At 42.8% G+C, this 27,045-nt stretch overlaps 1 protein-coding gene and 1 pseudogene across 55 annotated transcripts in view, besides 4 other annotated features; one reads left to right on the forward strand and one right to left on the reverse strand.

Annotated features, from left to right (window-relative positions):
* The window catches only part of NBPF15 (NBPF member 15), a 40,280-nt gene extending 18,714 nt beyond the window's left edge, over positions 1–21,566 (reverse strand). For 2 of the 55 annotated variants that reach the window (NM_001385442.1, NM_001385408.1), the window contains exons 1-7: positions 21,278–21,566; positions 20,740–20,858; positions 19,263–19,380; positions 16,434–16,702; positions 10,669–10,767; positions 8,672–8,813; positions 38–192 (exon numbers count right to left, since the gene is read on the reverse strand). The gene's annotated coding sequence lies outside the window, so the exon portion shown is untranslated. Of the gene's footprint in view, positions 1–37; positions 193–298; positions 479–2,566; positions 8,814–10,668; positions 10,768–11,855; positions 12,047–16,433; positions 16,703–18,743; positions 18,934–19,262 lie in introns of all 55 variants that reach the window. The other 53 variants (NM_001385444.1, NM_001385430.1, NM_001385447.1 and 50 more) reach the window with 50 other exon arrangements.
* PFN1P6 (profilin 1 pseudogene 6) lies at positions 2,366–3,147 on the forward strand (annotated as a pseudogene).
* Positions 11,385–11,885: an enhancer, noted in NCBI's record as "OCT4-NANOG-H3K27ac hESC enhancer chr1:148565664-148566164 (GRCh37/hg19 assembly coordinates)". NCBI's record gives its function as "activates a minimal SCP1, AML or CMV promoter by ChIP-STARR-seq in primed H9 embryonic stem cells {active_cell/tissue: H9 hESC(primed)}" and the evidence as "EXISTENCE:reporter gene assay evidence [ECO:0000049][PMID:30033119]".
* Positions 20,860–21,593: an enhancer, noted in NCBI's record as "H3K27ac-H3K4me1 hESC enhancer chr1:148555957-148556690 (GRCh37/hg19 assembly coordinates)". NCBI's record gives its function as "activates a minimal SCP1, AML or CMV promoter by ChIP-STARR-seq in primed H9 embryonic stem cells {active_cell/tissue: H9 hESC(primed)}" and the evidence as "EXISTENCE:reporter gene assay evidence [ECO:0000049][PMID:30033119]".
* Positions 21,594–22,327: an enhancer, noted in NCBI's record as "H3K27ac-H3K4me1 hESC enhancer chr1:148555223-148555956 (GRCh37/hg19 assembly coordinates)". NCBI's record gives its function as "activates a minimal SCP1, AML or CMV promoter by ChIP-STARR-seq in primed H9 embryonic stem cells {active_cell/tissue: H9 hESC(primed)}" and the evidence as "EXISTENCE:reporter gene assay evidence [ECO:0000049][PMID:30033119]".
* Positions 24,947–25,182: a silencer, noted in NCBI's record as "fragment chr1:148552383-148552618 (GRCh37/hg19 assembly coordinates)". NCBI's record gives its function as "represses an EF-1alpha promoter that drives an FKBP-Casp9 reporter gene in an ReSE screen in HepG2 liver carcinoma cells {active_cell/tissue: HepG2}" and the evidence as "EXISTENCE:reporter gene assay evidence [ECO:0000049][PMID:32094911]".

A 27,045-nucleotide genomic window follows, 5' to 3' on the forward strand; every position in this document is an offset into this window, starting at 1 on the left:
GACTGAGGGATGTAAGTAACTGAAATTCTTAACTTACTGTTGTCAAAAATGTGATCACTCCCCACAGCACTTTAGGATCCTTCACCACAAAAACAAGGTTCGAGGTGCCTCAACTCAGAGCTGAAAGCACTGTCAGTAGCGCAGACTCTGATAAGAGTGAGGTAGATTGTGGCCAGCGTGCCAGGTAACCGTCTGCAGTTGCAATAACAGAATTAGAAGGTGGGGGTGTCATGGAATCTTAGGAGCCCTGCATTCCAATTGCCCAGGCTTTGCTGAAACACAGGCACCCTAGTCTCACCTGAGGGTCACCACCAATGGGGATCATTCCTTCAGCATTCACTCTCAGTATTCGTGTACCCTTGTGACAATGCCACAGACCCATGTCTTTCCCAATACATCTAAGCATATTCCTCACTGTTTATCTCTTGTCTGTACAACATCATCAAGGCAGAAACAGTTTCCCAACAGGTTATATTTTCTTAATGGTAGTCATGAAATCATAAATAAAAAAATAGAATCATTTAGTATGTTCTCTTGTTTTGACTTTTTTTTTTTTTTTTTTTGTTTGAGACAGAGTCTCACTCTGTCGCCCAGGCTGGAGTGCAGTGACGCGATCTAGGCTCACTGCAAGCTCTGCCTCCCAGGTTCACGCTATTCTCCTGCCTCAGACTCCCAAGTAGTTGGGAATACAGGCGCCCGCCACCACGCCCGGCTAATTTTTCTTTTTCTTTTTTTTTTTGTATTTTTAGTAGAGACGGGGTTTCACTGTGTTAGCCAGGATGGTCTCGATCTCCTGACCTCGTGATCTGCCGCCTCGGCCTCCCAAAGTGCTGGGATTACAGGCATGAGCCACCGCACCCGGCCGACTTCTCTTTACTCAGGTGGGTATATATGCCACTAATTTGTTTGATTGTGTTTTTCCCTTGTTTCATTTTGTTTTGGCCAAGTAATATCCTATTGATTGTATGATTATCACACAATTTGATATCCATTTTTCTGATGGGAGACAGGTTTACTTGGTAACTACTGTGCATAAGTAACTATGAATATTCTCATACAATTATTTCTGTGAAGATACATACTTATTTTCCTGGGTATCTATAGCTAGGGATGGAGTTGCTTGGTGAATGGGTAGAAAATGTTGGACAGAGTTTTGCAAAGTATTTGTATTGTTTTACATTTCTATGAAAGATGTAGGCCATTTTCAGTTGCTCTACATTCCCACACACTTAATATTTTCAGTCTTTTAAACTACACCAGGTGTGTAGTGATATCCTAAAATTTGGTTTTCTCATGCCTAATGTTCATTTAGATATCTTCTTATGGAAAATATCTTCTCAAATTTTTATATTCATTGATATACTGGGCTGTTTGTCAATTTCTTTGTAATAGGAGTTCTTTATATATTTTGAATGAGTCCATTTATACATACATATTTTTTGCTGTATTATATAGCAAATAATTATTCCTGGTCTAGAGATAGCGTTTAAGTTGTTAAACAACAACATAATAAGGAGAAGCTTTTTAAAAATGAAGTGCAATTCGCTTGATTTCTTATTGTGGTGAGTGCTACAGTATCTAGTCTAAGAAATATTTTCCTGTGTCAAGTTCATGAAACTATTTCCTATTTTTCCTTTACAAGGTTTCTAATTTAACTTTCACATCTTAAGTTAATTTCAATATATGATGGAGAGTGGTTAATATTAACTTTTTAAAACAACAAATATTATTTCACTCAAAATTGTTTTACTTAAAAGTCTTTCATTTCCCCAATGAAGGGCATTGGTGTCTTTGTTTTTAAAACATTTAGAAGCGGCGGTGCGAGCATGTTCTCACTCATGGGTGGGAACTGAACAATGAGAACACTTGGACACAGGGCGGGGAACATCACACACCAGGGCCTGTCATGGGGTGAGGGCTGGGGGAGGGATAGCATTAGGATATATACCTAATGTAAGTGACGAGTTAATGGGTGCAGCAAACAAACATGGCACACGTGTATATATATATATAATATATATACACGTGTATATATATATATATAATATATATACACGTGTATATATATATATATATAATATATATACACGTGTATATATATTATTAATATATATAATATATATATTAATAATATATATTATTAATATAGATGTAGGCCATTATTAATATATATACACGTGTATATATTATATATATATATACACGTGTATATATTATATATATATACACGTGTGCCATGTATATATATATACACATATATACATGTATACATGTATATATATTATACAATATATATAACACGTGTGTATATATATTATATATATATATTTTTTTCTTTTTTAAGTGGCGGAGCGAGGGCTACTGCACAGCTAGCAGAGTCGTGGCGAGGAGGACAGCACCTGCATCGAGCTCTCCGCCTCCCCCACCCGCCAGCCCAGGCGGCCCCAACAGCAGCGACCAGAGGAGCCCCTGCAGCAACGCAACGGCCAGGTGGACACCTCCATCTACAGCCTCGTGGCGGACGGGACCTGTTAGGACACGGCCATTGTTGGCAACAAGGACCCACCTTCCATCTGGGCCGCCATCCCAGGGAAAACCTTCCTCAACATCACGCCAGCTGAGGTTGGTGTCCTGGTTGGCAAAGACTGGTCAAACTTTGTCATGAATGGACTGACACTGGGGGGCCAGAAATATACTGTGGTCCTGGACTCACTGCTGCAGGATGGGGAATTGACCGTGGATCTTCATATGAAGAGCATCGGTGGAGTCCCCACCTTCAACGTCATTGTCACCATGACTGCCAAGACGCTAGGCCTGCTGATGGGCAAAGAAGGTATTCATGGCAATTTCATCAACAAGTAATGTTATGAAATGGCCTCCCACCTTCAGCGTTCCCAGTACTGACCTCCTTTGTTCCTTCCACTCCACCGCTCCCCATAGCTTTGCCCGCCTTTCCTTCACATACACACACCATTTTAATTTCAGGGGTCATTACCCCACACACCTTATTGCTGCCAAAACCACATGGGCTGGGGGCCAGGGATAGATGGACAGACACCTTCCCCCACCCATACCCCTCCTGTGTGTGGCTGGAAAACTTTTTTGTTTTGATGGATTTTTTATGAATAAAAAAGATTCTACTAAAAAAAAATCAATAACTGTACATATGTGGGCATATTGTTTGAATCTGTATTCTTTTACTTTGATATATTTATGAATACTTACACCATTACTACTGTTTTAAAATTACTGTAGCTTTAAAATCAGGTTTGAAATCTAGCAGAGTAAGTCCTCCAACTTATTGCTTCTTCAAGACCGACTTGCTTATTCTAGGTTCTTTGATTTTCAAATACATTTTGAAACTAGCTTTCAAATTTCTCTAAAATCTCCTACTAGAAATATTAATCAGAATTGTGTTGATGTAATATGCTAACAAAATTGAGTCTTCCAATCAATGAACATGATATATATTTATTTAGCCTTCTTTAATTTTTCTCACCAATTGCTTTTAGGGGCCTTGTACCTGCTTCATTGCATGTATTGTTAAGCATGTAATGATTCTGGCTATTAATCTCTATTATGTTTTATTGAATTTCATTTTCTAGCTGCTAATTGCTAGTATGGAGAAATTAAGATGATGAAATCAACTTTATAAAGGCATAATTTCGGTACAACAGACTGCACCACTTTAAAATGTGTAATTCAATGCACGTTTACAAATGGATACACTAACGGAACTACTGCCACAACCAAGATAGAGGAAATTCCCTATGCCCCAAAGTTTCTTGTACCCCTTTGCAGTTCATCAGCCTTTCAACCCTCAGCCCCAAGGAGCCACTGTCACTTCAGGTCCGTTTGCATTTTTAACCATTTTCTATAAATGAAATGATACCTGTGTTCTTTTGTGTTGCCTTCTTTCATGCATCAATGTAATTTTAAAATCCATCTGTAATGTCTTGTAAATACTGAGTAGTATTCCTTCGTGTGGCTATACCATGTATGTTTGTACTTTCACTTGTTATTGGACATTTCTATCATTCCGCGTTTGGGCTATTATGAAGAAACTATCATGAACATCCATACGTGGCAGGCCAGGTCTCACTAACACAGGCCTCCGTAACAACTGTTTCAGTACCGACTGAGTGGTTCAATTAAATATTAAGAGGAAAAAAAAAAAAAGAAGCCAGTGCCCTTATACAAAGGCTGGAATGTAACAAAAGCCCACCAAGAGTTTTGCCTAGGTTTTTCCTGGGCCTTAAAGCATGACGAAATAACGAAGGCATTCTTAACAGGAGCCATTTAGTATTAAATAAGTTTTACTGGGGGTCTGAAGAAACTCCCCAGGCCTCCACAAACAAGTTTATTGGAGATCTGAAGGGACTCTCCAAACCTCTGTGATTTAGCAGGAGACAAGATAAGGGCCCCCAGCACCTAGACCCATTTAGATTAACTGAATTTAACTGAGGTTCCAGAGGAAGGTCTTCAGGACTCAGACTTAGTTATAGATTAAAAGAAGTTAATCACTTATGTATTTAGATGAATGCACACTTCCACATACACATATAGCTTAGAAGGTACATTAGCTCAGGAAAACTTTCCAATTTTGAGTTGGTCTGGTGATAATTTCCAGGCCGTTTCCCTGTAACCAGTTGCAGAAGTCAAAACTCTCTTCCTCCCCAGTTCATCTGTGTCTTGTTACTGAGCCACGAGAAATAGCAGCCCGCCCCTCAGGTTGGTCTGGAAACACACATACAGATCATTGTGCAGACACAGTGTGTAAATTCCTAGGAAGGGAATGACTGTCTATCTGATTTGTGTTATGTTTAACCTTTAAGAAACTGTTAGATTTTCAAAGGAGCCATACCATTTTTCATTCCTACAAGTATAAGACTTCCAAGTGCTTTATATCCTCACCAACAGGTGCTATTTTCAGCCTTTTTAATTTTAGCCATTCTTATGGATATGTACTGGTATCTCATTGTTGCACTGATTGATCTCCCTGATGACTAAACAGTGGAGCATCTTTTCCTATGCTAACTGACCATTCATGTATCTTCTTTTCTGAAGTATCTATTCAAGTCTTTTGAGAAATTGTTTCAATGTGCTGTTTATCTTATCAGACTGCAATATGTATGTGTGTGTGTGTGTTTGTGTGTGTCTGTATATGTATATATATATATATATATATATATATTCCCTATTTGGAGATGATAATCTTCAAAACGGTGAATATATATATATATATATATATACACACACACACACACACACACACACACGTTTGTGTGTGTGTGTGTATACATATATATATGTCCTAAGAATCAATTAGACATACATGTGAGTATCTATTTCTGGATTCTCTCTTCCACTGATATATATTCCATTTTTTTTTTCAACAAAACACATAATCTTGATTTTCATAGCTGTAGAGTAATTCTGGAAATAGGTAGTGAATTCATTCGCCATTATTCTTTTATAATATTGCTATTTTATTATTCTTGATCATTGACATTACCATATAAATGGTAGAATCAGCTTGTAAATTTCTACCAAAATGCCGCTTGGAATTATTATTAGAATTGCATTGGATCTGGAGATCAATTTACGAAGAACTGACTTTTTAAACATAACAACTCTTCTGATCCATGACAAGGTTTATCTCCCCACTAATTTAGTTCTTTCATAATTTCTCAAAGCAATTTTTTGTAGTTTTTGGTGTACTGGCCTTACATAAATTTTGTTGACTTTCCTTTTTTTTTTTTTTTTTTTTTGAAACAGAGTCTTGCTCTGTTACCCAGGCTGGAGTGCAGTGATGCGATCTCGGCTCACTGCAACCTCTGCCTCCCAGGTTCAAGTGATCCTCCTGCCTCAGCCTCCCAAGTAGCTGGACTACAGGCACATGCCACCATGCCTAGCTAATTTTTTGTATTTTTAGTAGAGATGGGGTTTCACTGTTAGGCATGATGGTCTCCATCTCCTGACCTCATGATCTGCCCACCTCGGCCTCCCAAAGTGCTGAGATTACAGGTGTGAGCCACGGTGCCCAGTCTGTTGAATTTATTTATAAGCACAACATGTATTTAGATGTTACTTTAAATGAAATTGTATTCTTATTTCATTTTCCAAATGCTCATTGCTAATATACAGAAATACAAAAGACCACTTATATTGAGAGCTTACATTCTGCAACACTACTAAACTCACTGATTAGTTCTGGTAGATTTTTGTAGATTTCTAGCATTGTTAACAAACACAGTCATTATCTGTGAATAAAGACAGCTTCAATTCTTTCTTTTCAATACTTTATTAATTTTTCTTACTTTATTGCATTGATTTAGAGCTCTAGTATAATGCTGAATTAAAAGAGTAACAACAGGTATTCTACTTTTTTCTCTGATTTAATAGAAAAGCATTCAATCTTATGCCATTTAATATAATGTTACCTGTGGGTTCTTCAAATCTGCCCTTAATGGGGTTGGAAGTGTTGCCTTCTGTTCTCATCATGCTGAGCATTTTCTGGGGTTTGTTTTTATAAATCATGAAAAAAGTTTTCAATTTTGCCAAATGCTTTTACTGTGTATGACAAGGTAATCATACGGTTTTTCTCTTTTGCCCTGATAATATATAAAATGATATTTTTTAAATATAAAAAAGAGGCCGGGCATGGTGGCTCACGCCTGTAATCCCAGCACTTTGGGAGGCTGAGGCGGGCGGATCACACTTGTGGCAGCATTGAAGGCTTCACTCTTCCCCAAGGGATCCAATCTCCCCTCAGTCAAGAAGCTCCAGGTATCTGAACTGGATGCCAGGTCAAAAATTCCCACTATGGTGACTCCAACAGGTCTCTGTCCTCAGAACTAGAGCTTTTCTAATTATTACATAAGTTGACTTCTTAGTAGATTTCCCATCCATTACATCCCAGACACCTCACAATGATTAGTAACCACCACATGTCCCTGCCTCTCAAGGAAATCCCTCCCGCCTTGTCTCTAGACAGCCAAGTCCCACGGCCTGTCCTCTACTCTTCCAGAACCCTGTTGTTCTGACAGCAGGGAGGACAAATCCATGCAGCATCTCCCGCCATGACCTCCAGCCTGCAGAGGAGAGGTGCCACAGGACCTTTACACGCACGCCGCTGTTCCCCTCACCCATGCATTTCTTAATGCCTTGGTGAGGAGAATGCCTCTGGGTCTTCCTTGATGGGAGCTAAAGGAACAAAGGTAAATAATGCTATGGGACCCACTGAGAATTGGGGCTGTGGAAGAGTGGCCACTGAAGTAATAGACAGATGCAGCTATTGCCAGATACTCAGTGCCAGAGCAGGGAGGGAGAGGGAAGAAATACGGACCTCACCTTCCTCTCACTTCCAGGCTCCATCGGGTGCCCCCAATGCTAAACCTAACTACAAGTGTGCACACAGGGGAGCCAGGGATGCATTCTAGAAGGGACAAGCCCCAAGTGGCATAAGACAGGATGGAAATGAGTGGAGAGTGGATCTGTGGGAAGGAGGAGGGGATGTTATGGGGAAACAAAAGGAGAATACTAGCTAATAATGCCAGGTGACACTAATATCCCCAAGTCTGTGCTCATATTCAGAAAAGAAAGCTCAGCGTAAAGCACTCAACCAGGAGTCAAGATATTGTTATTTTCAACTGTTGTTCCAACAGTTGTATTATAAAGGGCTAGTTTATTTCATGCCTTTCTAATTTGAAATAAAGTGCTACATGGCATTGGGGCTGGTACAGCCTCGCTCAATTATGGGTTGAAGAGTACACAGAGACTGCCAGGCTGAGGGAAGGTGCAAGAGAATAGAAGAGATGCTCACAGAGAACCACAGACCGCACGGCTCCAGAGTCAGGGGCAGCATCAGCCACTGTCGGCTGCTCATTTGTCCAGACAGAGCCCACAAGCCTTAGCCATGCTTTGCTTCTGCAAGACGCTTCTTCACCTTTTCAATAAACCTGCCTGAATTAAAGCTGATGGGAGTTTATTTCTCCTTTATCATAAAAGAAATTCTTCACCACAACAATCTCCAATGAATTGTGGGCACAGAAGGCAGACCCATCCCTGCTTCTCTTCCACTATCTCCCCTGTAGGTTGAAAAGGAGGAGGTACTGAATTACCTCCAAATGTTCCTCTGGCTCTGATATTCTGTGACTCTGGTTTCTTTTTGGCTACTTTGTTTTTGGAAGCATGTATCCTAAGGCGTCCAGTTGAAAAACCTTTGTCTACTGTGTCCAGACATTCCTGGTGGTATTTCAGATAAGACACTCTTGGGTTGCTGCACTCACAACCACTGAACCAATTCTATGACTATCTGTTTCATGGCCACCTGTTTGCTCATTTTCTATGTACATAAAGGGAGGGGACAGACAACAAATTTGCATATTATAAACTGTATCATCTTAAAAAGGAAACAAGGCAATATTTTGCAATAAAACCTTAAGATGCATTAAATTTAAGCCTAATGCAATAAAGAATGCCCATAAAATTATTATCTAAAGAATGTTTAGAAAATTGTTGAACAAGGGACATCATCATTTAAAGTGATACGAAGAAAACTCAGCTAAGCATATGGGCTAGATTAGAGAGAAAAATAAAGGACCCATCTCTGCCCTGGAAAAACTACTGGTAGCATCTTTCACAAAGCTCTCTGTGTTTGAGTACGCACCTTGATCCATAGGCTCACATTTGATCCCAACTGGCGGCTGCTTCTTGGCATTAACTTTGGATTCCCAACCAGTAAATCTTACCAAGATCTGAGTTTCTCCAGGTATGATATTATTTTGTTTGACCATCCTTATCTTCAAGGGCTACCAAGAAGAAACAAATCATTTATTTACCTCCCCAGAGGAAAAGGTTTTACCAATGAGACACTTTCTTACCATGACCCCAGGGCCCCCATGCCCTGTTCACTTGAGTGCCCTGTGTGGCCTGAGAGAAGCTCATACTGGTCACAGGATTCTTTATATGATTAACCTCCTTCCTGAATCCCAACTTTATGGTGGTGGTGATGACAGGTATCCCATGCTCATGTCCCTGAAGTCATCAGCCTGTCTCCAGTTAGAAAAAATTACATGTATATAGAGAGGCCTCTTTGGAAGTAGCAAAAGCTTTCTCACCTTCATACATTAATGGTTGGAATGTACAATAGTATAAACACTTTGGGAAAAAATGTCTGGCATATTCTTACAGAACTAAACATCTACCTATTCTATGACTCACTAATTCCTAAGCATTTATCCAAGAGAAATTAAAACATATGTCCAGAAAATGATTTATACAAGAATGTTCATAGCAGTTTTATTCATAATAGGAAAAACTGGAAACATTCAAATATCTATCAATACAAGAATGGATCAATAAACTGTGATACATTCATTCCATGGAATGGCTAAAGGAACAAACTTTTGACACACAAAACAACATGGATGAATCTCAAAAACATTTTGAGTGCAATAGGAGCCATACGCAAAAGAGTGTGAGGAAAATGATAAATAATAATGGTTTCAAGAAATGCAGAGCAGAGAGCCCAGAGGTAAAGACCCACAGGACAGAGGGTCAGTCCCAGGCTGTGGATCCTAACTAAGAAACTCCTGCTGGATTTTGCCCAGCTCCATTTCCAAACTATTTTGGGTTAGTGACTTCTTTATCCCCTCCATGTTCCCTCATTTTGAACTAGAATCACTGTAGTTGTTATTCTATGTCTGTCCCATCATTTCACATTAGGGGCAGATAAGCTGTTTGTTCAGTTTCACAGGTCGACAGAGGTAAGGGAATTATGTCAAGGATCTGCACTTAATGGACACTCTCGGAAGCCTCATTCACACCTGGTGTGGATGTTTTAGATGGGATTTTAAACTTTTGATCTGATGTGGTCTACATGACATTTTTCATGTTGAACTAATGCTTTAATGACATGAAATCTGGAAACCTCAGGGGAGAGGGTAAATGCACTTTGCAGATGGGGGAATGTGAGTGTCCTACTGTGGTAGATGGAATTTCTGAAATGGTCCCCAAACATGCCACACCCTTGTCTCTAAAGCCTCTTAAGGTGATGAGACACCATTCCTGTGACTATGTTGTTATATGCCAGTTATATGACTTTAAGATGGTGAGGTTACCGCATGAACTGGATCTAATCACATCACTCCATACATGACAGAGCTTTGTGTGGCTGGTTGGAGAAGATGAAGTCAGAGAAGGTGGGAGCTTGAGAAGGACTCCATGAGTTGTTATTGGTTGAAAGATGAAACAGACAGGTAAGGAGGAAAGCACGTGGCCTCTGGAGTCAGAGTGTCTCCCCGCTGACAGCCAGCACAGAAAAAGGGCCCTCAGCCCCCCACAAACAAGAATAGGAACTCTTTCATTATCTGTAGTGAACCTGGAAAAATAGCTTGAGCTCTAGGAATAAAACACAGCCAGCCCATTCCCGGATTTTAGCCTCACATGACTCTGATCAGAGAACCCGGCCACTTCATTCCAGACTTCTGTGGTTTCAAACCACTGGTTTGTGGTAATGTGATAATAGGCAGCAAGAGAAAACTAGTACAGGTGCCTGTCTCTCCTCTTGAATTTCAATTTCAGATAAATGTATGCTAACCCTCTAAGAGAAAAAAATCAATCAACCAATCAATGAAAGAACTACAGTAAAAATATTGCCCTCACCTTTATGTGGCTGTTCCAGAGCCCTTGCCACCTGAAGAAGACAATGAGGGGTATTTCAGGCACTTGAGTAGTGTGGCTTTACTGTTATCAATCACATTTCTGAAAGAATAAAAATGGTTCAGTGAAGGGATGGGTTGCCCCTCCACACCTGTGGGCGTTTCTCGTTAGGTGGAAGGAGAGACTTGGAAAAGAAAGAGACACAGAGACAAAGTACAGAGAAAGAAAAATGGGCCCAGGGGACCGGCGTTCAGCATATGGAGGACCCATGCCAGCACTGGCCTCTGAGTTCCCTTAGTATTTATTGATCATTATCGGGCATTTCCGGAGAGGGGGATGTGGCAGGACAATAGGATAATAGTGGAGAGAAGATCAGCAGGTAAACACGTGAACAAATGTCTCTGCATCATAAACAAGGTAAAGAAAAAAGTGCTGTGCTTTTGATGTGCATATACAGAAACATCTCAATGCCTTAAAGAGCAGTATTGCTGCCAGCATGTCCCACCTCCAGTCCTAAGGCAGTTTTCTCCTATCTCAGTAGATGGGATATACAATCGGGCTTTACACCGAGACATTCCATTGCCCAGGGATGAGCAGGAGACAGATGCCTTCCTCTTATCTCAACTGCAAAGAGGCCTTCCTTCCTCTTTTACTAATCCTCCTCAGCACAGACCCTTTACGGGTGTCGGGCTGGGGGACAGTCAGGTCTTTCCCTTCCCACGAGGCTGTATTTCAGACTATCACATGGGGAGAAACCTTGGACAATACCTGGCTTTCCTAGGCAGAGGTCCCTGCAGTCTTCCGCAGTGTAGTGTGTCTCTGGGCACTTGAGATTAGGGAGTGGTGATGACTCTTAACAAGCATGCTGCCTTCAAGCATTTGTTTAACAAAGCACACCCTGAACAGCCCTTAATCCATTTAACCCTGAGTTGACACAGCCCATGTCTTAGGGAGCACAGGGTTGGGGGTAGGGTTACAGATTAACAGCGTCTCAAGGCAAAAGAATTTTTCTTAGTACAGAACAAAATGGAGTCTCTTATGTCTACTTCTTCCTACACAGACACAGTAACAATCTGATATCTCTTTCTTTTCCCCACAGTTCAGGTCAGGCCGTGGCTCATGTCTGTAATCCTAGCACTTTGAGAGGCCAAGGCAGGTGGATCACTTGAGGTCAAGAGTTAGAGACCAACCTGGCCAACATGAAGAATCCCTGTCTCTACCAAAAATACAAACATTAGCCAGGTGTGGTAGCAGGCGCCTGTAATCCCAGCTATTCAGGAGGCTGAGGCAGGAGAATCACTTGAACTCAGGAGGTGGAGGTTGCAGTGAGCTGAGATGGCGCCGTTGCATTCGAGCCCAAGGAAAAGAGAAATAACTCCATCTCCAAAAAAAAAGATAAAATAAAATAAAGACGGTTCACTACTTCAAATATTATTATGTGAAAATGTATCATCTCAATTTTAATAGTAGATTTTTAAAAATTCTTTTTCTTGTGCTCACCAGACAAGGTTTGGTAAAAAATACCAGTCACCAGCACAGATGAACCAATTCAAGGAGAGCCATAAACAGGACTACTATTATGTTCCCCCAAAAACCATCCCTAGAATGCAATCTCTTCTCTACTTGTCACAAAACGAACACAATAGTCCACTATATAAAGTCCCAAACACAGGAAAATATAAATATAATGAAGTCTGCTTTCCAAATATTTATTCTATTCAGACCCAGTCATGGGGACCAGGGATTAGGAAATGACTACAAACAGGTTCAAGGGAATTTGGGAAGTGACAAAATATGCTGAAGTAGAACTCTGCTGATGGCTGCACAATTCGATAAATCAACTTACATCATTGAGTTGTACATTAACAATGGGGGACTTTTATAACAAGTAATTCTTTAAACAAACTTTTGGGTTTCTATTTCAACATGGAAAGAGCTAGGCAGTCATCACTTGTCCTCACAGCTAGAAAAAAGCTGAACAAACTGAAAGTCAACCCTTCTAGGGTGGATCAGAGAATTGAGGTCACAGGGAAAACTGCCACCTTAAAAATGAGAAACACAGGCTAACACACAAGGAGTCACAGCTCACAGGGAAGAGAAGCTACTGGGGACAGCAAGTGGGAGGAGCACTTAAATGGTACTGACAGATTACTAGAAGCTGAGGGTAGCCTGGCTAGAACATTAAAAACTCCTTGAAGACCAGACTAAGGGGGAATCTCACACATTTCCAAGTGTTACTACAATGATCTCAACCAGGTTCTCATGATGAAGTTCAGAAAAACTCCCTGAGGTTTGGCACTACCAACTTCAGGACTTACATTAAGCTACAGTAACCCAAATAGTGTGAAGTTGGTGAAAAGAGAAAACACACACATATAGATGCATGGAAAAGAATACGGAGCCCAGAAGCAGGCCTACATACAGTCCACTGATCTTCCATGGAGGTTTAGAGACAATTTAAAACAGCAAAGATAGCCTTTCCAACTAGTGGTGCTAGAACAGCTGGACAACCACATGCAAAAAAATAAATAAATCCAGGTATGCATGTTATACCCTTTATAAAATAAATCTTACACGTAAATGTAAGGTGCAAAACCATAAGAATCCTAGGAGATAACATAGGAGAAAATCTGAGGGATCCTGGGTTCAATGATGGCTTCTTAGATACAAAACCAAAAGCACAATCTACTAATGAAAAAAAAATTAAGTTGAGCCTCATTAAAATTAAAAACTTCTGTTCTGTGAAAGACACTGTTAAGAGAATGGAAAAAGCAAGTCACAGACTGGTAGAAAATATTTACAAAATAATCTGATGGAAAAACTGCTGTCCAAAATATATGAAGAATTCTGAGAACTAAACAACACAAAGCAAAAAAAAAAAAAAAAAAAAAAAAGTGAAACATCTGAACACCTCATTAATAAGATATACAGATGGCAAATAAGCATATGAGAAAGATGCTCAAAATCATTTGTTGTGAGGGAATTGCACATTAAAACAACGAGATATCACTGTAAACCTATCAGAATGGCTAAAACACAAAACGGTGAACACACCAAATGCTGTCAAAGATGAGGAACAACCAGAACTCTCCATAGCTAGTGGAAATCAAAAGTGTACAGTCACTTTGGACAACTTAAGTTCATTCAAAATCCTGCACATAAGTACTTGCAGCAATTTTATCATAATTGTCAAAACTTGGAAGTACCCAAGACGTCTTTCACCAAGTGAATGAATAAACAAACTGTGTTGTAGCCATACAATGAAATCTGATTCAGTGATTTTACAAAACAAGCTGTCAAGTCATGAAAAGACGTGGAGGAACTTAAAGTACATAATGCTAGAAAGAAGCCAGTCTGGAAACCTACATACTGTAATTCCAACTCTAGGACATTCTTGGAAAGTCAAAAAGATAGAAGTAGTAAAACGATGAGTGGTTGTCAGGGGTGGAGGAGAGGAGGAGGCACGAAATGGTGAAGTACAGGGAATTTTCAGCAGTGAAACTATTTTGCATGATGCTGTATTGGGGATTTAGGACATTACATAATTGCCAAAACCCATAATCTGTGAAACTCAAAGAATGAACTCTAGTGTAAACTATGGACTTTAGTTGATAATGATGTATCAATAGTGGTTCATCAATTGTAACGAATGGACCACACTAATACAACATACTAATAGGGGAAACTGTGTGCTGGAGGACAGGGGAGCCTAGGAGAACTCTCTGTACTATCCACTCCATTTTTCTGTAAACCTAGAACTGTTCTAAAAAATAACATCTATTACTTTTTTTTAATTAGGATGCAGCAGCCCCATACCAAGGTTTTGGTGGCATCCTGTTATTGTGTGGTTAGTACTTGGCATTGAAGTGCACCAACCTGGAGTCAGAGCAGTTGGAGATTTCAATGCCTGTGCCATTTACCTCTAACCCTGGGGTGCCCCCGGAACACAGCTAGCAGATCAGTTAGGCAGAAGCAGCCTCAGTCATCTAGACAGTGCAGGGTTCTGGTAAGGACAGGTGCAAACCATCTAGGTGGGCAGAACTTGGTGATGACTAGGAACCACTGAGACTCAGCAGCTGCCCCAGTGGCACCCACAAATCAGAGGAGGAGGAGGCTGGGAGGACCTAAGGGCTACAGGACGAGCTCCCTGCCTACAAGACAGAAGCAGCTCCAGAGGTTTTGGTAAGTAATGTAGATTTCAGTGCAGTGTGGTCTTTTTTAAAAAGTAGAACAAAAAGGAAAGAAAAAGAGAGAGCATGAGAGACAAAGAAAAAGAAAAGAAGAAAGGAAGAAAGGAAAGAATGGAGGGAGGGAAGGAAGGAGGAAGGAAGGAAGGAAGGAAGGAAGGGAGGGAGGAAGGGAGGGAGGAAGAAAAGGAGGGAGGGAGGAAGGCAGGGAGGGAGAGAGGAAGGGAGGAAGAAAGGAAGGGAGGGAAGGCAGAAGGGAAGGAGGGAGGGAAAGAATAAAGAGAGAGAGAAAAAGAGTGGGAGAGAAGTAGGGAAGGGAGAGAAGTAGGGAAGGAAGGAAGGAAGGAAGGAAATGAACAAATTTACATGAAGATGAGAACATCCAGGGGAACTTACACCACCAGTATTTCCCATTAACAGGAACACGCTAACTAGTTATTGGAGACAGATGCACTACTGTAAAACTATATGCTGTTTCCACGGGGTACAACCCCTTCTTCCTCCTCTGAAACACATTATTCCTCTGGCCCACTGTTGCCAGAGACACTGAGTCTTGTCTTTGGATAAGTTCTGGTGCCCAAAAGAATGAGATGAGACAGTGGATCCCAGAACACCAGGCCGCAACCTTCCCTGCTGCTCCTTGTCCACTCCAGAAGCTTCCCAGCTGCAGGTGGGGGCCTCAGCCCCTGGGTCTGACATCGTCCATTTGTCATTCTCACTGGACTTCCCTCCTTGCACTGGCTCCCACTCCCCCAGGACCTGGTGGACGGCCACGTGAGAAGGATACAAACAGGCCATGCCCCTTTCTTTCTCCCCCTCTCAATGCCTGCAGTGGTGGGTTCCATGGGGTAGTGACCTGAGATTTACTCGTTATGGGGTCTCTAGCCCAGAGCAGGGCATGGTACCTAATAGTCACCCCATGAATGCTCAGTGAAAGAAGGCATCCACCACAAGGTCCTGGGGAACCAAGAATTCCACTGTGGCCCATAAATTCTAAGTCCTACAGGATTCTGGAATGGGAGATGGGAACGGCCTTCAAAAGTGGCCTCTCTTTTAACACATTATACTGGCAACTGAGCCATGTTTCCCCATCCTGGACACATCTAGAGGGCACTGCCTAAAACCACACACATCTCCCCACCCAGGACAGTGCAGGGCCTTAGCCTGGGGGATGCGGGTGGACAGGGAGGGGGTGAGCCATGAAAGCTGAAGAGGAGAAAGCAGGTGAAAGGGGACGGCAGGGTGGAAACAAGAGACGGAAATGGGGGCAGAGAATGGGGGGTAAGAGGGGAAGAGCAAGGAGTGGGATGCAGATCTAGCTACTAAGGAAAAGTCCTGGAGAGAACACTCTCCTCTCCTGAGGTAAAATCACTTCCACCTGACGACGGCACTGCAGGTCGAGGGTGGCACACGCTGTGAATATTTGTTCATTCACCTAACAAATATTAATTCAGTATCTGTTTCATGCCAGGCAAGGCCCTGCGATGTTTAGGGCCCTTGGCATCTTCCCTTCACATCTGAGTCATAATAGAAAAAGGACTCTCTGACTCCATCGAGCTGGCAATGCCTCAGGGTTTTTACCTGTGGGATCTGGCAGCTCTTCATTCAGCCCACACCGTGTGAGGTTGCTCTTGGTGCACCGAATGGGGAAGTTTCTACATCAGTACCTCGGAGAGTCCACTGGAAGCCCTGGACAGTGGGAGTTGGTGGCAGCCCCAGCGTGGAGGCCAAGAACACACAGCACTGAAGCTCCAGGACACCCTCAGGAGGACGGTAAGGGACGGTAAGGTGAGAGCCTGGGTCACCAGGAACCTTCGCCTGCATCTAAACAGGATTTGCTTTCAGATTGCCTATGAGATAAAAGAGAGAAATCATGGTTAATATTGAGATTTGGGGCTTCGGCAACTTGAAGGATGGAGCTGCCGTTTACGGAGACTGGGAAGACCCAGGGAGGAGCAGGTTGAAAGGTGGTGGGGAACTAGAATTGTTTGGGTTCCTGTCATATGTAATCAACAGTCCTCACCAGCCTCGGCAACATAGTAAGACCCCATCTCTGAAAATAAAAAATGAAAAATTGGCCCAGCATGGTGGCACACACTTGTAGTCTCAGCTACTCAGAAGGCTGAGGCAGGAGGATTCCTTGAGCCTTGAATTAGAGGTTAGTGAGCTATGATGGCACCACTGAACTCCAGCCTGGGGGAAAAAAAAATAAAGAGTCCTGACTAAATACTTGAGTAGCCAGGGAAGTTTTCACAAAGTAATACTTGAGGCAGATCTTAGTGAACAAGAATTCGATTCTTTCTGTTAGGGAATTATGAGTGTGTGGGTGTAGTTAATGCTTCTTTGGAATCTCATCTACTGGTCTATCTGGTCTATCTGTACACGTATATTCTACAGGCTGTCTCGCTGAGCTTTCGCTAGGTTATGCTACAGTAACAAAAGCCCCAAAATCTTAGCAGCAACACATACAAAGGTTTATTTTTCATTGACATTTCCTTTTATGTCAGGTTGACTGTGACTCTGCTGTATACAAGCTATTTTATTTGTTAGATGGTGAAAACTGTGACACTTGGAGATTGTTGAATATGGTATTAGTATGTTCCTTCATTCATTCCTTTAACAAATATTTATTCAATATCTGTTTCATGCCAGGCAAGGTCAAGTACTGAGAATACAGTGGTGAATAAGAGACAAAATCTCAAATTTCCAGGAGCTTATGTTGAAAATGAGATTGAACACATACAAAATAATCATAATAACAACAATGAATACTATACTCATAAATAATAGCTGTAAGAGATTTTAGTAAATCTTTTAAATTAGAAAAACATAAAAATTATTAAAACTAAAATGGCCAGCGGTGATGGCTTATGCCTGTAATCCCAACACTTTGAGATGCCAAGGTGGGAGGATCATTTGAGCCCAGGAGTTTGAAACCAGTCTGAGCACTACAGGAAAACCCTGTCTACAAAAAATAGAAAATTAGCCGGGCATAGTGGTGCATGCCTGTAGACCCAGCTACTAAGGAAGCTGAGGTGGGCAGACTGCTTGAGCCTGAGAGGTCAAGGCTGCAGAGACCCATGATCATACCACTCCACTCCAGCCTGGGCAACAGAGCGAGACACTGTCTCAAGAAAAAAAAAAAAAATTGTTCGATGTAGTCCTAAAACTATTATGTAGAATACTATTGTTTACATCACATCACGTCGGCCCTTTAAATGGCTTAACGCTTATTTAGGTACGATCCATAAAGTTTTCCTGGTAATTAAGTATACCTAAGAACAATGAAGTATAAAAGAGTTACTGCCTTGACAGGAAGATTGTAAAAATTGTAAAAAAGATAAATAAATAAAGAGTCAAGACTGTAGCTCTGTGAGGCTCAAATAACATCTAATTCAAGTCACAATGAACATCTAGCAATCACTGTGAACACCACATACTTCCCTTAATACATTTTCCCTGAATGCCCAACACATCTGAATTACCAACACCCGTATGTAGCCAAGAAACTGACAATCATTTATAAATTATCACCTATGACTCCATCTGCTCTATGCACTTATTTTTTAAATTTTACTCATTTATTTATTATTTTTATTTTTTGTAGAGATGGGATCTCACTATATTGCCCAGGTTGGTCCAGAAACAGAAACAGACCCACACTAATTTCATAAATTGGATGACCATGCAGTCATCCGATTTAAGAAAAAAAGTGCCAAACAGTGCAGAAGGAAAAGGATAGTCTTTTCAATAAATGGTGCTGGATCAAGCAGACACATCCATGTAGTAAAAAGTGAATCATAGCCGGGTGGGGTGGCTCATGCCTGTAATCCCCACACTCTGGGAGGTTGAAGTGGGAAGATTACTTGAGCCCAAGAGTTTGAGACCAACCTGGGAAACATGTTGAATCCCAATCTCTACAAAAAATATGAAAATTAAGCCAGGCATGGTGGCACACTCCTATAGTCGCAGCTACTCAGGAGGCTGAGGTGGGAGGATCGCTTGAGCCAGGAGGTGGAGGTTGCAGTGAGCTGAGATCCTGCCACGGCACTCTAGCCTGGGCAATAGAGTGAGGCCCTGTCTGAAAAAAAAAAAGAAATGCAAAAACTAAAATAAAATTGCTATAAGGTTAACACAGAAAAATGTGTTCATACTCCTAGGTTCGGCATTGATTTCTTAAACAGGACACAAAAAGCACTAACCATAAAGGAAAAGATTGATAAAGTATAATTTCATTAAAATTAAGAATCTCAGGCTGGGTGCAGTGGCTCATGCCTGTAATCCCAACACTTTGGGAGGCCGAGGCAGATGTCTCACCTGAGACCAGGAATTCCAGACCAGCCTATGCAATGTGGCAAAACCCCATCTCTACTAAAAATACAGAAAAGAGCTGAGTGTGGTGGTGCTCACCTGTAGGTCCCAGCTACTTGGGGGCTGAGGCAGGAGGATCACCTGAGCCTTGGGAGGTCAAGGTTGCGGTCAGCTGTGATTGTGCCACTGCACTCCAGCCTGGGCAACAGAGTGAGATCTTGTCTCAAAAAGAAAAAAAAAGTTAGAGAATCTCCATTCATGAATAAGCACCATTAAAAGAGCGAAAAGGCAAGCTACAGATTGAAAAAAGGGAAATGCAATACATATATATCGTAGAAAGGACACATAACCAGAAAAAAGTATTACAAATCAACAGAAAAACAAGCATATCAATGAAAACTGGATAAAAAGATTTAACAGGCACTTCACAAAAGAGGACACACAAATGACAATAAAAGATACTCAATCTCAATACCAGGAAAATGCAAAATGAAATCACACTGATACATTACTGCACCCCTACTAGAATGGCAAAATAATTTTTAACTGACAGGCATCAGCAAGGATGTGGGGTAACCAGAGTATCCCTGCTAAATGGTACAACCACTTTGGGAAAACGTTCAACAATATGTAATACTAAGTTTTATCATTCATATACCTCTAAAACCAACAATGCCACTCCTACAAATATACCCCAGTCTAGTAATGTTCTATTTCTTGATCTGTGGTGGTTCACTTGGTAAAAATTCATTACCTGTACTTTTTTTTTTTTTTTTTTTTTTTTTTTTTTTTTGGAGACAGGGTCTCACTCTGCCACCCAGGCGGGAGTGCACTGCCATGATCACGGCTCACTGCAATCTCAACCTCCTGGGCTCTGGTGATCCTCCCACCTCAGCCTACCAGGTAGCTGGGACTACAGGCACACACCACCACACACAGCTAACTTTTGTAATTTTAGTAGAGATAGGGTTTTGGCACGTTGCCCAGGCTGGTCTGGAAATCCTGGGCTCAAGTGATCCGCCCACCTTGGCGTCCCAAAGTGCTGGGATTACAGGTGTGATCTACCGCGCCCGGACCACCTGCACATTTAAAATTGTGAACCTCTCTGTATACTTCAGTAACTTTTCAAAGATTTCTTTGACACAAAGTTCTCAGAAATCTTAAAGCTAGCATTTCACAACAGAAAAAAAGAGCTTCTGGTTCACTGGTGAAATTTTACTAATAAAATTTAAAAACAAAAAGCTACTAACACATATCAGCTCAGAACAAAGACTAAACACTACCAGCAGATCTTTCCTTTAACCTTGTGAAGCACTGGGATTCATTCTTTCGGCAAAGAAAGGATGAACAACACTGTAACCCAAAGAAAAGATACCACTGCAAGAAAAGACTTCTTTTCGAAAGCAGCTCTAGCAGCAAAAGATAGGAGGAAAGCAAGGAAACCATGCCAAACGTCTTGGTTAACTCTTCGGAGAAAGGACGCCAAATGAGAAGATCTAACAAGCCAGAAAGACAGATACAGGGAAATCACAGCAACTCTTTGGAGTGCAAACACCAACCCCACAATCCAACCTACCGGAAATCCTGCGGTGAATTAGAGGCCTGCCCCGCTAGTCATGAGGTGATTCAGTGACTGCTACAAACGCTCCTCATGTGCATCCTGGACTTGGTACACCCGGCTTGCCCATCACCAGCCTGGAGAAACCGCCAGGAGCAGAATCCCGGAGGCCAATAAAGACCCCAACTTTGCAAGTCAGGGGCGCGAGTGGTCTCGCTTCTCAGGTCCCCAGAGGCAACCGATTTCTGGCCTCGAGGGTGGGGTGCGGGGTCAGGGTCCTCCACAGGATACACGAGGACGTGCCCCCGAAGCTGCTCGTCCCTCCACCCCCTGAGATGCCACAGAACACCCGCCAGCGAGTTTCTTCCCCAGCGCCCAAGGAGGGCTGCGGGCGGCAGCGGCAAGCGAGGAATCCAACGCATGGAACTTAAGCCCCGGCGGGGCCGGAACACACGCCCTCCCAACCCCCCACCCCGCCTCGCCCTCCGTCGCTCGCAACAAAACTTGCGACAGCCGCAGCTCGACCCAGCTGTGTACCCGCGGGTCCCGGACTCACCGCCCGCCCGGCCTGGCGCGGCGCCTTCACCTCGGAAACGCTGGGTGGACTTCGCTGTAAACCGTAACTTCCCATCCAGACGGCATCCGTGCGCCACGCCTCGGCCCGCTCCTGGCGCCACAGGTCGCCCGTCCCGCGTTCCCAAAAGCACCGCGTTCACTCAGATGCTCACGCAGCCTCGCGACCCTCACCTACCCCTCCCGATACCGCCGCTGTCTCAACCGCCGCCCAGCCCATAGCCTGCGCCAGCTGGCTCCTCAGGGTCCCGCCCGGCGCGTCAGGAGAGCCCAAGGCGCAGGCGCAGCGGGGCCTTAAAGGTACATGGCCGCCTCTGCGGCACAGCGGGTTCGCGCGGGCCAGGAAAAGGAGTAACCGAGCGGATAGACAGAGTGCAGCAGAGACCGGGAAATCCCTCTCTCCCCTCCGCCTCTCTTTTAAAGCACCAGCCCTTGACCCTACAAATCGCTGATTTCCAGGGCCACTTGAACCGCCCCTGCCAGGTTAAAGGGGCAGAAGACACACCCCCTCGGGGGCCCGGAGCGACCCCGCGCTTAGGACTGCAGGCCTGGTGCTGCAGCACCGCCCCCGAGTCTGACTTCCAGGCCCGGGCATGGGGTGCAGACGCGCAGACGTGGGAAGGCAACCCCCAGCTCCCCCGAGAGGTGGCCTTAGGTCACTCGCAAAAACAATAACCCACATGTCAGTGGGACTTGTAGTGATTTTCTAATTTAAATTAATAACAGATTTTGCAGATGGGCTTCCACTGAAATAAGCCTTTGAGAAAAAGAAAAACTTTTTCAACAAGATTAGGACATACCAAGAAATAGGAAGTAAAGCCATGCCGCCCACCCAGCTAACAACTTTGAAAACTTGAAATTTTATCTAAGGCAAATGCTTGCATAACTTTAGGTCGTGCCATTATTATTATTGTTATTATTATTATTATTATTTGAAACGGAGTCTTGCACTGTCGCATGCAGTGATGCAATCTCGGCTCACTGCAACCTCCGCCTCTTGGGTTCAAGTGATTCTCCTGTCTCAGCCTCCTGAGTAGCTGGGACCACAGGCCCTCGCCACCACGCTCGGCTAATTTTTGTATTTTTAGTAGAGACGGGGCTTCACCATGTTAGCCAGGCTGGTCTCGAACTCGTGACCTCAGGTGATCCACCAGGCTTACCCTCTCAAAGTGCTGGGATTACAAGCATGAGCCACCCACTGGGCAAGGCCTGCCTGGAAATAATCGTGAGAAATAAACTCACCTGTCCAAACCCAAAGAATGGACTCCAAGACCCGGAAAACAGCAGAAGTGCGACTTATTATTAATGACAGTCTTGCAAGATCGGGTGTCTGGTAGGCAGGCACACCCAGTAGGCTTACAACAAGCAATTTATCCCCTAGTGTGGAAGTGCCTCCCCCGGTTCCTCATAGGCTGAGTACTATGGGGTCACAGTATTCCCGGATGTCGCCTATTGGATCTTGGGTTTGGACTTTTAGGTTGTTTTTTTTTTTTTTTTAGGGTTGTCTCCCTGTATTTTGTTGCAGTCCATAATGCATTGCAATCATGGTCAGCTCGGGGGCTTTTCAAGTATTTGACTTATGACCTGGGCAGTCAGGCAAGCTGATAAGAATAGATGTAGTGAACTATTTTGCAGGCTAGTAAATGTCCATTCTAGACTAAACTCTTTGGTTTGGACAAGGCAGCTAAGGTGGGGGAGTGGGGGTGGGCGACAAGCAGGCACCAGCTATTAAAGCAGCGGCCTAGTATATTCTGTTCTTCCATAGTTTGCGGGCCCAAGCCTAACTTCCTACAATAATAATTATATACAAAAGTTTTTAAAAGGGATAAAAGAAAAGAGGGGATGTCTCAAATGAATACACTTAAGCTCCCCCCTCAAGAAACAAGAAAAAAGCAAGTAAAAGAAACCTAAAGCAGGCCAGGCACGGTGGCTCACGCCGGTAATACGAGCACTTTGGGAGGCCAAGGTGGGTGGATCACCTGAGGTGAGGAGTTTGAAACGAGCCTGGCCAACAAGGCAAAACCCCGTCTCTACTAAAAATACAAAAAAATCAGCTGGGCATGGTAGCACCCGCCTGTAATCCCAGCTATTCTGGAGGCTGAGGAAGGAGAATCGCTTGAACCCGGGAGGTGGAGGTTGCAGTGAGCTGAGATCGCACCACTGCACTCCGGCCTGCGCCATGGGAATGAGACTGAATCTACAAAAAAAAAAAAAAAAAAAAAAAAAAACCTAAAGCAAATGGAAGGAAATAATACAGATAATAGCGGAAATCAATGGCATTGAAAACAGAAAAAAACAAAAGGGGAAACTAGTGAAAATAAAGCTGTCTCTTTGAAAAGATCAATAAACTTGACAAAGAAAAAAAGAAGTCAGCTTATGAACATCAGGATGAAAGAGGGACTACACTCATTACAGACTGCAGATATCAAAGGGATAATAATAAGGGAAAAACTATTTAAAATTCTGTACACACATATATTTGACAACCCAGATGAATTGGACAAATTTGTCATAAGTATCAACTACCACAACTTACCTAAAGCAAAACAGGTCATCTGAGTAGCTCTGTAACTATGAAAATAATTGGATTCCTAATTTTAAAATTTCCAGAAAGAAAAGCTCCAGGTCCAGATGGTTTCACTGGAGAATTCTACCAAACGGTTGAAGAAAAATTAACATCAATTCTTTTTTTTTTTTTTTTTTGAGGCAGAGTCTTGCTCTGTCTCCCAGGCTGGAGTGCAGTGGTGCAACCTTGGCTCACTGCAAGCTCCGCCCTCCGGGTTCATGCCATTCCCCTGCCTCAGCCTCCCGAGTAACTGGGACTACAGGTGCCCACCACCACGCCTGGCTGATTTTTTGTATTTTTGGTAGAGACGGGTTTTCACCGTGTTAGTCAGGATGGTCTCGATCCCCTGACTTCGTGATCCGCCCGCCTTGGCCTCCCAAAGTGTTGGGATTACAGGCGTGAGCCACCGCGCCCAGCCGAATTAACATCAATTCTGTACAATCTGTTCCAGAAAATAGAAGATGAAGGAACACCTCTCGACTATTTCTGTAAAGCTATGATTACCCCAACTCCAAAACCAGACCACAAAAATGTTTATCAGTCAATGAAGAAAAATCATTTGACAAATTCAACATCTATTCATGATAGAAATAAAGAAGGGAGGCCAGGCTCTTTGGCTCATGCCTGTAATCCCAGAACTTTGGGAGGCCAAGGTGGGTGGATCACCTGAGGTCAACAGTTCGAGACCAGCCTAGTCAACATGGCAAAACCCCATCTCTACTAAAAATACAAAAATTAGCTGGGCATGGTGGCAGGTGCCTGTTAATCCCAGCTACGAGGAGGCTGAAGCAGAGAATTGCTTGGACCTGGGAGGTGGAATTTGCAGTGAACCGAAATCACGCCACTGCACTCCAACCTGGGTGACAAAGCGAGGCTCCATCTCAAAAAAACAAAACAAACAACAGAAATAAGAAAAAATAGAAAGAAGGGAAGAAAGAGAATGTTTTACAACTATCAGAAACATAGGAACACAGGACTTTGTCAGCTCGATAAAGACAACTTACAAAAAAATTCACAGTTAACTTCTTACCTCATGGTGAAAGACCACATGCTTTCCCTCTAGGACTGGGAACTAAGCAAGGAAGACCACGCTCACCACTGATATTTCACATGACAATCCTACCCAAATCAATAAGGCAAGACAGGGAAATCACAGGCATACACTGGGAAGGTGGAATAGATGAACTTTGCCCTATTCTTCCTGCTCATTACATCTAAAAACCTTGGGCATTGTACATACAACAAACATAGGAAGACTGAAGGGCAAAGAGAAGGTAGGAGGCCATCTGGCTTCCTCAAGACCCACAGAAAGCCAGGAGATGAGTTCCCAGGATTCCTCCATGCCCCCGCATACATCCTAGATGTAGAGCCAAAGGAGATGGCAACCCAGAAATACCAATGGCTACAGATCCAGCAAACCCCAATACAATCTTGCTCTCTCTAGGCAAAGGATCAGCAAAGGGGCAGTCTAGCAAGACAAGACACATATACGATCATCAGTTTCCTCAGGTCAAGCACCGTGGAAGAAAAGCTGTGGCTGCATCAACATAAAAGCTAGCAAAATCCCAGTGAGGGGCTTCGGGTTTCACACTTGCGCAGGTATAATGACATATGCTAAACCCCCACCTTGCCCCGGGGGTTCTTTAGGTTCCAGCATTTTATTTATCATGAGACACACAATGACTAAAATGCTGGAAACTAAAGACAGAGAAAATACCTCAAAAGCAACAGAGAAAGACGACATCTTACCTAGAGGGGAAAAACAATTTCAATGACAGATGTTAGAGGAGGAAGCTGGGGCTGTCATCATCATCCCTGCCAGGTGATAATATGTTTACCTCCCTGTCAATAGAAACTACATTTGGAGCCTAGACTTCATTAGATGGTCATGAGGCACCTCTCCCTCTGTCTGCTAGGCTGGTATCAGAGGAGTCCTGGTGGAGAGTCAGGACTTTCATCCACCCAGCAGTAATAAGGCTGCCCTTGTCCTGTGGTGTCACTGGAGGCCACGTGGAAAGCAGTAATGAAGCACTCCTACCCACCCAGCCAGGGATGTAGCAGTGGAGGAGGAGTGGGCTGCTGGAACTCCCTCTCCTACCTTAGCAGCTCCTCCACTCAGGGTGTCAACAGAGGTCAGTCAGATGAGAAACCTGGATTTTTACACACACCTGGCTACAATGAGATGGCACCACTCTTCTTCCCCTGCAGAAACAGACTCAAAAAAAGGTAGTTAAAACAGAAGGTTTCAATAAAATCGAAACTCTGATAACATAACACCCAAAAGTCCAAGTTTCAATTGAAAATCATTCATCATACCAAGAACTAGGAAAATCTCATACTGAATGAAAATAGACAGCAAATACACGCTGGCAATGAGATGAGAGAGGTGTTGGGATTGTCTGACAAAGAGTTTAAAGCAGGCAAGCCTAATGAAATGATTTAATGAGTACTTATAAGAACACTTGAAACAAATGGACAAGTAGAAAGACTCAGCAAATAAATACAAGACATAAATAAGAACCAAATGGAAGTATTAGAAGTGAAAAATGCAACTAAAATAAAAAGTCCAGCAGATAGGCTCAGCAGCAGAATGGATGGTGTGGAGCAAACAAATTCATATACTGCAGATGAGAAAAACAGAAATTACAGAATCCTAACAGGGAGAAAATAGACTGGGGGGGAAAGTGAACAGAACCTCAGGGACCTGTGAAACTACCTCAAAAGTTCTCACTTTCATGTTGTTATCAGTGTCTGGAAGGGGAAGAGGAAGAAGACAAGGCTGAAAACATACTCAAAGAAGTAAATGGCCGAAAGCTTCCCAGAGTTGGCAAAAGACATAAACCTACAGGCTCAATAAGCTGTGAGAACCCTAAATAGGATAAAACCCAAAGAGGTCTATGGCAAGACACGTGACAAAATAAAATGTTGGAAAAGAAAGACAAGGAAAATATCCGGAAAACAACAGAGAAAGGTGACACCTTACCTAGAAAGGAAAAACAATTCCGGTGATGATGGATTTCTCATCAGAAACCATGGAGGCAGAAAGAAGTTGTGCAGTGCTTTTCAAGCCATGAAAGAAAATAATTGTCAGCCCAGACTCCTCTGTCCAACAGAAACATCTTTCAGGAATTAAGGGGAAGATCAAAACAGTTCCAGATTAAGAAAAGCTAAGGGAATCTTTGACC

Source organism: Homo sapiens, chromosome 1, assembly GCF_000001405.40.
Source record: "Homo sapiens chromosome 1, GRCh38.p14 Primary Assembly".
NCBI lineage: Eukaryota > Metazoa > Chordata > Mammalia > Primates > Hominidae > Homo > Homo sapiens.